This window comes from Homo sapiens, chromosome 1, assembly GCF_000001405.40.
Source record: "Homo sapiens chromosome 1, GRCh38.p14 Primary Assembly".
NCBI classification, from domain to species: Eukaryota; Metazoa; Chordata; class Mammalia; order Primates; family Hominidae; genus Homo; species Homo sapiens.
This window is the reverse complement of record NC_000001.11, coordinates 215,167,470-215,181,349: the sequence shown is the minus strand read 5'-3', so window position 1 is coordinate 215,181,349 and position 13,880 is coordinate 215,167,470. Positions and strand designations below refer to the sequence as shown.

Below are 13,880 nucleotides of genomic sequence, written 5' to 3'. Positions count from 1 at the left end.
GACAGATAAAGAATTCAAAGCATGGATTGCAAGGAAGCTTAACAAAAGCCAGTACACAGTTGAAAATCAACACAAAGAAATTTCTAAAACAATCTAGGAAGTGTAAGAGATAAACATATTAAAATAAATCAATCAGAGCTTCTGAAATTGAAAAACTCACTTAAGGAATTTCAAACTAAAACTGAAAGCTCTATCAACAGACTGGACCAAAGAGAAGAAAGAATTTCAGAGCTTGAACTCTAATCTTTTGAACTAACACAGTCAGACAAAAATAAAGAAAAAAGAATTGTAAGAAGTAAAGAAAGTCCTTCAGAAATACAGGATTATGTAAAGTGGCAAAATCTAAAAAAATTATTGGCATTCCTGAGAGAGACAGAGATAAAGAAAACAACCTGGAAAACATATTTGAAGGAATAATTCAATAATATTTCCCTAATCTTGCTAGAGAGGTGACATTCAGATACAAGAAATCCAGAGAACACCTGTGAGAACTATACAAAACAAACATCACCAAGGCATACAGTCACCAGACTGCCTGAGGTCAATGCTAAAGAAAAGATCTTAAAGGGAGCTACAGACAAAGGTCAAATCATATATAAGGGGAACACCATCAGACTAATAGTGGATTTCTCAGCACAAACCTGACAAGCCAGGAGAGACTGGGGTTTTTTTTCAGTATTTTTAAAGAAAAGAAATTTCAACCAGTAATTTTATATTCCACCAACCTAAGCTTCAGAAGTAAAGAAGAAATAAAATATTTTTTCCAGACAAGCAAGCATTAAGGGAATTTGTTACCACTACATTAACCTTACAGGAGATACTTAAGGGAGTTCTAAACATGGAAAAAAGAAATGATACCTGCTACCACAAAAACACACTTAAGTATATAGCCCACAGAGGTTATAAAGCAAGCACAAAGTAGAAACTACAAAGCAACCAACTGACAACTACATAATCGGATCAAAACCTAACATATCAATATTAACCTTGAATGTAAATGGTCTAAATGCCCTCGCTTAAAAGGCACAGAGGGACAAGTTGGAAACACAATCCAAGACCTATCCATCTGCTGACTTCAAGAGACCCATCTCACAGATAAAGACATCCTTAGGCTCAAAGAAAAGGGTTGAAGAAAGATCTGTCACACAAACAGAACATGAAAAAGAGTAGAGGTCACTGATTTATATCAGATAAAACAGACTTTAAGCCAACAACAGTAAAAAAGGACAAAGTAAGGTATTACATAAGGATAAGAGGTTCGATTCAACAAGAAGACTTAACTATCCTAAATATTTATGCACCCAACATTAGACCACCCAGATTCATAAAACAGGCTCTTCCAGATCTATGAAAAGACTCAGCTAGCCATATAATAAGAGTGAGGGACCTCAACACTGCACTGCCAGCATTAGAAAGATCATCAAGGCAGAAAACTAAGAAGTTCTGGGCTTAAATTCAACACTTGACCAAATGGACTTAACAGACATCTACAGAATACTCCATCCATCAACCACAGAATATACATTTTTCTCATCTGCACATGGAACATATCTGAAGATCAACCACATGCTCAGCCATAAAGCAAATCTCAATAAATTTAAAAAAATTAAAAGCATACCAACCATACTCTCAGACTACAGTGGAATTACAATAGAAGTCAATACCAAGAAGATCTCTCAAAACCACACAATTATACAGAAATTAAACAACTTGCTCCTGAATGAATGTTGAGTAAACAAGAAAATTAAACTAGAAATTAAAAAAATTATTTGAGATAAATGAAAACAGAAACACAATATACAATATACAGCAAAAGCAGTGTTAAGAGAGAAGTTTATATTGCCAAATGCCTACCTCAAAAAGTTAGAAAGATCTCAAATTAAAGATCTAACATCACACCTAAAGGAACTAGAAAAACAAGAAGAAACTAACTCCAAAGCTAGCAGAAGTGACTAAAGTTAGAAGAGAAAAAAAATAAAAGAATAAAATCAGAGCAAAACTAAATGAAATTGAGACTCAAAAATCCATGCAAATAATAAAACCAAAGGTTGGTTCTTTGAAAGGATAAGCAAGATCAATAGACAGCTAGATTAACAAAGAAAAAAATGAGAGAAGATCCAAATAAGCACAATCAGAAATGACAAAGGTAACATTACAACTGGTCCCACAGAAGTCCAAAAGATTCTCAGAGACTATCATGAACATTTCTATGCACACAAATTAAAAAATATAGAGGAAATAAATAAATTCCCATAAACACACAATCTCCCAAGACTGAATCAGAAAGAAATTAAAACCCTGAACAGACTAATATTGACTTCCAAAATGGAATCAGTAATTAAAAAAAAAAATCTACCAACCAAAGGAATCCCTGGACTAGGTTAATTCACATTCAGATTCTACCAGATGTACAAAGAAGAGCTGGTACAAATCCTACTAAAACTCTTTCCAAAAAATTGAAGAGGAGGGACTCCTCCCTAACTCATTCTATGAAGCAAGCATCACTTTGATAACAAAATATGGCAAAAGACACAATAACAAGAAAAACTATAGGCCATTATCCTTGATGAATGTAGATGCAAAAATCTTCAACAAACTGAGTCCAACAGCACATCAAAAAGTTAGTTCAACATGATCAGGTAGACTTCATTCCTAGAATGCAAGGTTGGTTCACCATATACAGATCAATAAATGTGATTCCCACATAAATGGAATTAAAAACAAGAACCATACTATCATCTCAATAGATGTGGAAAAAGCTTTTAATAAAATATAACATCCCTTCCTGATAAAAATCCCCAAGAAATTAGGCATTGATGAAACATATGTCAAAATAATAAGAGCCATCTATGGCAAACCCACAGTCAACAGCATACTGCATGGGCAAAAACTGGAAGCATTCCCCTTGAAAACAGAAAGAAGGTAAGGATGCCTACTCTCACCACTCCTATTCAACATACTACTGGGAGTCCATGCCATAGCAATCAGGCAAAAGAAAAAAATAAAAGCATCCAAATAGGAAAAGAAGAAGTTAAACTATCTTTCTTCACTAACAATATGACTCTATACTTAGAAAACCTTAAAAATTCTGCCTAAAGGCTCCTGTAATAAACAACTTCAGTAACATTTGAAGATACAAAATCAATGTACAAAAATCAGTAGCATTTTGTATACCAATAACATTCAATATCAGAGCCAAATTAAGGACACAATCACATTTATAATAGCCACAAAAAAACAGGAATACATCTAGCCAAGGAAGTGAAGGATCTCTACAAGAACTACACAACACTGTTTAAAGAAATTATAGGTAACACAAAAAATAGAGAAATATTCCATATTCATGGATTGAAAGAATCAATATTTTTAAAAGTACCATACTGTCCAAAGCAATCTATAGACTCAACGCTATTTCTATTAAGCTACCAATATCGTTTTTCGCAAAGCTAGAAAAAGCTCTTCCAAAATTCATATAGAATCAAAAAGGAGCCTGAACAGTCAAAGTAATCCTAAAAAAAAAAAGCTGGAGACATCACATTACTCGACTTCAAACAACACTACAAGGGTAGAGTAACCGAAACAGCATGGTACTGCTACAAAAAAAAAAAATATATATATATATATATACACATATATATATAGGCCAGTGGAGCAGAATAGAGAACCCAGAAATAAACCACACACCTACAGTCATGTGATGTTTGACAAAGTCAATAAAAATTAGTAGTGAGGAAAGGATTCCCTATTCAATAAATGGTGCTGGGATAGCTAGCTAGCATATAAAGAAGGATGAAACTGGACCCCTAACTTTCACCATATACAAAAATTAACTCAAGATGGATTAAATATTTAAATGTAAGACCTCAAACTATAAGAATCCTAGAAGAAAATTTAGGAAACACTATTCTGGACATCAGCCTTGGGAAAGAATTTGTGACTATGTCCTCAAAAGCAATTTCAACTAAAACAAAAATTGACAAATAGGACCTAATTAAACTAAAGTGCTTCTGCACAGCAAAAGAAACTATCAACAGAGTAAACAGACAACCTATAGAATTGGATAAAATAAGTATAACCTATGCATCTGACAAAGGTCTAACATCCAGAATCTTAAAGGAATTTAAACAAATCAACAAGCAAAAAACAACACAATTAAAAAGTGGGCAAAGCACTAAAAAGTGGGCAAAAGACATGAATAGACACTTCTCAAAAGAAGACATTCATGTGGCCAAGAAACATATGAAAAAAAACTCAACATCAGTGATCATTAGAGAAATGCAAATCAAAACCACAATGAGCTACCATTCCATGCCAGTCAGAATGACTATTATTAAAAATTTAAGAAACAACAGATGCTGCCAAGGCTGTGGAGAAATAAAAACGCTTTTACACTGTTGGTGGAAATGTAAATTAGTTCAACCATTGTAGAATACAATGTGATTATTCCTCAAAGACCTAGAACCAAAAATACCACTGGGCCCAGCAATCCCATTACTGGGTGTATACCCAAAGGAATATAAATCATTCTATTATAAAGATACATGCACACATATGTTCATTGCAGCACTATTCACAATAGCAAAGACAAGAAATCAACCCAAATGCCCATCAGTGATAGACTGGATAAAGAAAACCTGGTACATATATACCATGGAATACTATGAAGCCATAAAAAGGAATGGGATGATGTCCTTTACAGGGACATGGTTGGAGCTGGAAGCCATTATCCTCAGCAAACTAACACAAGAACAGAAAACCAAACACCACATATTCTCACTTACAAGTATGAGCTGATCGATGAGAACACATGGACACATTGGGGGAACAACACACACTGGGGTCTGTCAGCGGTGCAGGGGTGGGAAAGCAACAGGAAGAATAGCTAATAGATTCTGGGCTTAATATCTAGGTGATGGGTTGATCTGTGCAGCAAATCACCATGGCACACGTTTGCCTATGTAACAAACATTCATATCCTGCACATGTACCCCTGAACTTAAAATAAAAGTTGAAGAAAAAAAAGTGGGCAAAGGGCATGAACAGACACTTATCAAAAGAAGACACACAAGTTTCTAACAAACATATAAAAAAATGCCCCACATCACTAATCATCAGAGAATTGAAAATCAAAACCACAATGAGATATCATCTCATAGCAGTCAGAAAGGCTATTTTTAAAAAGTCAACAAATAATAATGCTGGTAAGGCTCTGGAGAAAAGAGAATGCTTACACACTGACGGTGGGAATGAAAATTAGTTCAGCCTCTGTGGAAATCAGTTTGGAGACTTCTCAAAGAACTAAAACAGAACTACCGTTCAGCACAGCAATCCTATTACTGGCTATATATGCAAAGGAAAAGAAATCTAACAAAAAGTCACATACACACATGTGTTTATCAGAGCCCTATTCACAATAGCCAAGGCATGGAATCAATCCAAGTGTCCATCAGTGGTGGATTAGGTAAAGAAAATGTGGTATATACACACCACGGAATACTTTGCAGTCATAAAGGAGAATAAAACCATGTCCTTTACAGCAACATGGATGCAGCTGGAGACCATTATCCTAACTGAATTAATGCAAGAACAGAAAACCAAATACCCTATGTTCTCACTTATAAGTGGGAGCTAAACAATGGGTACTCATGGACATAAAGATGGCAACAACAGACACTGGGGACCACTAGAGTGGGAAGGGAGGGAAGGGGGCAAGGGTTGAAAAGCTAACTATTGGGTACTAAGCTTGGTACCTGGGTGATGGGATCAATCTTACCCCAAACCTCAACATCGCACAATATACCCAGGTAACAAACCTGCACATACACCACCATATCTAAAATAAAAGTTGAAATTATTTAAGAAAAAAATCAAAATATGTGCTTAACAAAACAAAAAAAAAATCAGAGGCAGACATTTGGTATCAAAAATTAGAGAGGAAATGTAAAATTCTGAACAACCAGTGATTATATTCCCTTCATTAAATAAAAATAAATATTTAACTCCACCTTTCTGTATACCTTCAGTGTCACAGAGTCACTATTTGTCTTTGCCACTGTTATGGGCTGAATTGTGTCCTCCAAGATATGTTGAAGTCCTAATCTCCAGTACCTCAGTAGGTAACCTGATTACCTCAATAGATGCAGAAAAGGCCTTTGACAAAACTAAACAGCCCTTCATGCTAAAAACTCTCAATAAATTAGGCATTGATGGGACGTATCTCAAAATAATAACAGCTATTTATGACAAACCCACAGCCAATATCATACTGAATGGGCAAAAACTGGAAGCATTTCCTTTGAAAACTGGCACAAGACAAGGATGCCCTCTCTCATCACTCCTATTCAACATAGTGTTGGAAGTTCTAGCCAGGGCAATCAGGCAGGAGAAAGAAATAAAGGGTATTCAATTAGGAAAAGAGGAAGTCAAATTGTCCCTGTTTGCAGATGACATGATTGTATATCTAGAAAACCCCATCGTCTCGGCCCAAAATTTCCTTAAGCTGATAAGCACCTTCAGCAAAGTCTCAGGATACAAAATCAATGTGCAAAAATCACAAGCATTCTTATACACCAATAACAGACAAACATCCAAATCATGAGTGAACTCCCATTCACAATTGCTTCAAAGAGAATAAAATATCCAGGAATCCAACTTACAAGGGATGTGAAGGACCTCTTCAAGGAGAACTACAAACCACTGCTCAACAAAATAAAAGAGGATGCAAACAAATGGAAGAACATTCCATGCTCATGGATAGGAAGAATCAATGACATGAAAATGGCCATACTGCCCAAGGTAATTTATAGATTCAATGCCATCCTCATCAAGCTACCAATGACTTTCTTCACAGAATTGGAAAAAACTACTTTAAAGTTCATATGGAACCAAAAAAGAGCCCGCATTGCCAAGTCAATCCTAAGCCAAAAGAACAAAGCTGGAGGCATCACACTACTTGACTTCAAACTATACTACAAGGCTACAATAACCAAAACAGCATGGTACTGGTACCAAAACAGAGATATAGACCAATGAAACAGAACAGAGCCCTCAGAAATAATAGCACACATCTACAACTATCTGATCTTTGACAGACCTGACAAAAACAAGAAATGGGGAAAGGATTCCCTATTTAATAAATGGTGCTGGGAAAACTGGCTAGCCATATGTAGAAAGCTGAAACTGGATCCCTTCCTTACACCTTATACAAAAATTAATTCAAGATGGATTAAAGACTTAAATGTTAGACCTAAAACTGTAAAAACCCTAGAAGAAAACCTAGGCAATACCGTTCAGGACATAGGCATGGGCAAGGACTTGATGTCTAAAACACCAAAAGCAATGGCAACAAAAGCCAAAATTGACAAATGGGATCTAATTAAACTCAAGAGCTTCTGCACAGCAAAAGAAACTACCATCAGAGTGAACAGGCAACCTACAGAATGGGAGAACATTTTTGCAATCTACTCATCTGACAAAGGGCTAATATCCAGAATCTACAATGAACTCCAACAAATTTACAAGAGAAAAACAAACAACCCCATCAACAAGTGGGCAAAGGATATGAACAGACACTTCTCAAAAGAAGACATTTATGCAGCCAAAAGACACATGAAAAAATGCTCATCATCACTGGCCATCAGAGAAATGCAAATCAAAACCACAATGAGACACCATCTCACACCAGTTAGAATGGCGATCATTAAAAAGTCAGGAAACAACAGGTGCTGGAGAGGATATGGAGAAATAAGAACACTTTTACACTGTTGGTGGGACTGTAAACTAGTTCAACCATTGTGGAAGTCAGTGTGGCAATTCCTCAGGGATCTAGAACTAGACATACCGTTTGACCCAGCCATCCCATTACTGGGTATATACCCAAAGGATTATAAATCATGCTGCTATAAAGACACATGCACATGTATATTTATTGCGGCACTATTCACAATAGCAAAGACTTGGAACCAACCCAAATGTCCAACAATGATAGACTGGATTAAGAAAATGTGGCACATATATACCATGGAATACTATGCAGCCATAAAAGAGGATGAGTTCATGTCCTTTGTAGGGACATGGATGAAGCTGGAAACCATCATTCTCAGCAAACTATCGCAAGGACAAAAAACCAAACAGTGCCTGTTCTCACTCATAGGTAGGAATTGAACAATGAGAAAACCTGGACACAGGAAGGGGAACATCACACACCAGGGCCTGTTGTGGGGTGGAGGGAGCGGGGAGGGATAGCATTAGGAGATATACCTAATGTAAATGACGAGTTAATGGGTGCAGCACACCAACATGGCACATGTGTAACAAACCTGCACGTTGTGCACATGTACCCTAGAACTTAAAGTATAATAAAAATATATATATTTTAAAAAATAATAGTAATAAGATTCTTAGGCCGGGCGTAGTGGCTTGTGCCTGTAATCCCAGCACTTTCAGAGGCTGAGGCACCTAAGTTCAGGAGTTCAAGACCAGCCTGATCAACATGGTGAAACCCCATCTCTCCTAAAAATACATCAATTAGCTGGGCCTAGTGGCACACGCCTGTAATCCCAGCTACTCAGGAGGCTGAGACAGGAGAATCACTCGAACCCAGGAGGCAGAGTTTGCAGTGAGCCAATATCGTGCCAGTGCACTCCAGCCTGGGTGACAGAGCAAGACTCTATCTCAAAAATAAATAAATAAATAAATAATAATAGAAGGCTCCTGTAAATGTAATTAGTTAAGATGTGGTTATGTTATACTTGCGTAGGATGGGCCTATAATATAATTTGACTGGTATGCTTATAAGCAGAAGGGAATTTGGCTGCAGAGACAGAGAGGCACAAGAAGAAAAACATGTGTTGAAGGAGGTAGAGATGGGAGTGATACAGCTGCAAGCCAAGAATTGCCAAGGACTGATGACCTCTACCAGAAATTAGGAAGAGGCTAAGAAAAATTCTACTGAGTCTGAGAGGGATCATGGCCCTGCTGGTACCTTGATTTCCAACTTCTGTGAGACAATGAATTTGCTTTGTTTAAAGCCACCCACTTTATGGTACTTGGGTATGTCAGCCCTAGAAAACTCATACAGCCCTTGTGTTTCGTTATAAACCTAAGTGAAAAATCTATCTAATAAACCCCTGTTAGAAGAGTAACATGGATGCCAGGAAAAGCTTACCTGCAACGTAGTCACCAAATCCAATAGTTGTTAGAGTGATAACCACAAAATAAATGGCGTCCAGGGCACTCCAGCCTTCTATGTGTTTGAATATGATCGCAGGCAGAGCCACAAAGAGTACACAGCCAAATAGTATAAATATGATTGTTGAGATGATGCGAATCTTGGTCTGACTAACATTCCACTTCTAGGGATGAGACAGAAAGGTGTGTGTATATATATATATGTATATAAATGGGGGGAGAGAGAGAGAGAGAGAGAGACAAAGAGAGAGAGAGAGAAATTACTTGTATACCCACAAAGTTAACCTATACACTATTATGAGCAAATTAGCAAGTAAGCATGTTATTTTATTTTCTTTTACACTTAGTTTTTAATTGTCTTTACTTATGAAAATTAGGTATCATCAATAAATCAATCAATGCTAACAATGATGCTACTTTATCCTCACATAGCTTTACAACAGGTGAAATTCTTTTGAAAGGGTAAATTACATTTGCCCTGAGAATGCAATTTTAGATTTGCATCATTATTTGTTTACCTAGAGTACTTCTGAAATATTTCTATTCTATAATCATACATACAACTGATTTCAGGCCAAATACAATCCAGAACCATATGAAAATGGAGACACTGAAACAAGAATTAAGTATTTACAATTGTTCATTGATAAACATTAATTTCATAAAGTTTTTTTCTGTCACTTCCATCACTTTTTCTTATCATCAATTTAATTGATTACAGCATAATACTAACAGCTTAACCTTCACAGTTTGATTCCAACATGAACCAGGTGAATTCTCTGTTCTATGATACTAAATTGTATAACTAACAAAGCTATAAGATCAGCAGGTAAGGATAAGTCTTCAATATCCCTAGGCCATAGCTGTCATCAGAATACCCATTTTTTAAAACTCCTTCTCCAGTAAAAAAATCTCTATAGTGTAATGCATTAAATGAAGTTGGTATATATACAACAGTTTATATCCAGATTTCTATTCGAGGCTAGTTACCATATATTTTAAATCTGACTGGATCTGTCCTATTTACTGTAAAAAATATAGGTCACAAACTACACCATCTGAAAATCACTGAATGTTAGAGCTTGAGAATTTTTAAAGACCTATGAAATCACAGAATGGAAAGGGTACATAGACATTCCTCTAGTCAACCATCCTCATCTTACCTGTGAGAGTTAAATGAGTTCATGTTTACAAAGATTATACAATAGTGCTTGGTACCAAACACTGAACCATGATTACTGGAATGTCATCACCATAAGGGCATGGAACTTTTTTTATGCACTGGTATATATGCAACATAAAAAATATTACCCAGCATCTAGGAGGCACTAAAAAATTTGTTGAATGAATGAACGAAGAATTCAACATTACCATGTTTATGCCGTCAATCTGCCCTCTTGATTAATATAAACAGATAATTCTTTTAAATAAAAGTATAATACAAAAAAAGAATAAAACTCCAATTTTGGAATAACTGTGTGATTCTATTTCAACACAATGTTGAACAAAATGCTTGAGATCTAACTTTGATCTTAAATCATGACTAGTGCTAAAACTGGAACTGTAATCCAAATTGAGAAAACAATACTCGATATTTTATTTCATCAGTAGAGTTAAATGTAAATATTTTGTTGAACTTTGTGTGAAAGTATAAAACATTACTAAACAATGAACAAAATTTATTTGCAACAGTGGTGCTAGAAGTAACAAATCCTTTATAATCCCACCCTCTAACAGGAACAGTTACTTTTTCCATAATTTTCTTCCAAGAACTCAAGTTTATCATCATAGTATTCTTATTTTTCACTTAAAATTCTAACAAAAGCATTTTCATTTTTTGTTGACTATAATACAACTTGAAAATCTCCATGTATTCTACACCTTTGGTTCTACTAAATTACATTGTGTAGATACATTCCTATCAATGGCATTACTGAATTAAGTTATATGATCACCTTTATTATGTTTGTTATTTAGACTACATCTTTCCCAAAGGGGCTTTATAAGGGTATCAAAACAAATTTTAAAATAATAAAGTACAGTCAGTCATTTACTACTTATGTTAAAGTTAAATTTATAATGCCACCTACCCTCAGAGTGATGCCTCCATAGTACCATTATTCAAGTTATACAAATAAGAAAATGTAGGTTTGATGGGATAATAACTAGTTTAAGAGAATATAGCTGGGAGACACTACATATGAAATTTAAATCTGGCTGGGCACGGTGGCTCAAGCCTGTAATCCCAGCACTTTGGGAGCCCAAGATGGGCAGATCATTGGAGGTCGGGAGTTCAAGATCAACCTGGCCAACATGGTGAAACCCCATCTCTACTAAAAAATACAAAATTAGCCAGGCATGGTGGCGGGTGCCTATAATTCCAGCTACTCAGGAGGCTGAGGCACGAGAATTGCTTGAACCTGGGAGGTGGAGGTTGCAGTGAGCCAAGATTGCACCCATTGTACCATTGCACTGCAGCCTGGGCAACAGAGCAAGACTCTGTCTCAAAAAAAAAAAGAAAGAAAAAGAAAAAAGTAAAAGAAATTTGAATCTAAGACTTTTGAATTCCTACTTTTTTCTGTTTATACTTTTGAGTTTTTCTCATGCATCAATTTATTCATTCAGATTAAGTATAAACATAATTAAAAAACAGTGAGTTACATGCCAGTAGAGATGCATATAAATTGTTATGGAAGCCCTAATAATTGAATGTCTAATTGTATCTGAGGTGACAGAAAAGATATAATTTTTTAAAAAAATCAAACAATAAATATACGTAGTTAAATATCTATCATACTCACAATAAACGTATCTTCCACTTTGGCAATTCCTTTTCCAAATATGGTGCCTAGCTGATCTCCAACTCCAGCCAAGAGAAAACCAAAGAGGGGAATTCCCAGTAAGGCATAGATGATACAGAATATTTTGCCGCCTTCTGTGCGTGGTGAGATGTTTCCAAATCCTTTAAAAAAATTACATTGTTTACAAATGAATAATAGTTGTTTAAAACATATGAACTCAAGATTGATTCAGAAACTCCAAAAAATTGCAAGATATCAATAATTGATTTTGACTAGTTAAGAATACGTTTGTATTACATACTATTGTAATATGTTCTAATATAAGATATTCTTATAAGCAAATATTTCAAAAATATACAAAGTATAGTTAATATTCCAATTAAACTGTGAGATGATGAAAACTGAGGTGACGACACATGCAATAATGTTTTCATTATCATTATTATTTTTTCAAAATCATATTTTCATTAAATATTTCTTTTTTCTTTCTTTTTTTGCTTTAAGTTCTGGGATACAATTGCAGAATGTGTAGGTTTGTTACCTAGGTATACATGTGCCATGATGGTTTGCTGCACCTCTCAACCCATCATCTAGGTTTTAAGCCCTGCATACATTAGCTATTTGTCCTAATGCTCTCCCTCCCCTTCCCACCACCCCTTACTGGTCCCAGTGTGTGTTGTTCCCCTCCCTGTGTCCATGTGTTCTCACTGTTCAACTCCCACTTATGAGCGAGAACATGTGGTGTTTGGTTTTCTGTTCCTGTGTTAGTTTGCTGAGGCAGATGGCTTCCAGCTTCATCCATGTCCCTGCAAAGGACATGATCTCATTCCTTTTTATGGCTGCATAGTATTCCATGGTGTATATGTACCACATTTTCCTTATCCAGTCTATCATTGATGGGGATTTAGGTTGGTTCCATGACTTTGATATTGTAAATAGCGCTGCAATAAACATATGTGTGCAAGTGTCTTTATAGTAGAATGATTTATAATCCTTTGGGTATATACCCAGTAATGGGACTGCTGTTCTAATGGTATTTCTGGTTCTACATCCTTGAGGAATCACCACACTGTCTTCCACAAAGGTTGAACTAATTTACATTTCCACCAACAGTATAAAAGTGTTCCTATTTCTCCACAGCCTCTGTTGTTTCTTTACTTTTTACTAATCGCCATTCTGACTAGCATGAGTTGGTATCTCATTGTGCTTTTGATTTGTATTTCTCTAATGATCAGTGATGTTGAGCTGTTTTTCATATGTTTTTTGGCCACATAAATGTCTTCTTTTGAGAAGTGTCTGTTCATATCTTTTGCCCAGTTTTTTATCGGTTTTTTTTCTTGTTAATGTGTTTAAGTTCCTTGTAGATTCTGGATATTAGACTTGTTAGATGGGTAGATTGCAAAAATTTTCTTCCATTCTGTAGGTTGCCTGTTTGCTCTGATGACAGTTTCTTTTGCTGTGAAGAAGCTCTTTGGCTTAATTATACTCCATTTTTCAATGTTGGCTTTGGTTGCAACTGCTTTTGGCACATTAAACTTACTTCTATCTCTCTATTGCTGATAATCCTGTTGACTATAAAGCTTTCATTATCATTCAGAACACACTGAGAATACTATATTGCCTTAATTCGAGAGTATTCAGATATGCTTAAGTTATTTAAAGATTAAAGTTTAGTAGCAACTTTAAAGTATTTTTATTCAATATTTACCAAAAAGCAATATCTAAAAACTTAAAATTATTAAACTTCTTTAAAGTTTTAAAGATCTTAAAGCCTTTCCAGTTTTGTGCAAGGATATCTACTTGTTACTATTCAAGTAGCTCAACTTCATTTACTTTTAATAGCAGAAGCACTGTCTACACATATATGCTTGGGTTAAAAAATATACTTCT

At 35.5% G+C, this 13,880-nt stretch overlaps 1 protein-coding gene across 7 annotated transcripts in view; it reads right to left on the bottom strand.

The window, feature by feature from the left end:
• Positions 1-13,880, bottom strand: part of KCNK2 (potassium two pore domain channel subfamily K member 2) — a 231,549-nt gene that overhangs the window by 55,741 nt on the left and 161,928 nt on the right. For all 7 annotated transcript variants that reach the window (XM_017001249.2, NM_001017424.3, XM_011509524.3 and 4 more), the window contains 2 exons: positions 11,991-12,151; positions 9,167-9,353 (listed from right to left, as the gene is read on the bottom strand). In XM_017001249.2, coding sequence (XP_016856738.1) covers positions 9,167-9,353; positions 11,991-12,151 — 348 coding nt within the window. The remainder of the gene's footprint in view (positions 1-9,166; positions 9,354-11,990; positions 12,152-13,880) is intronic.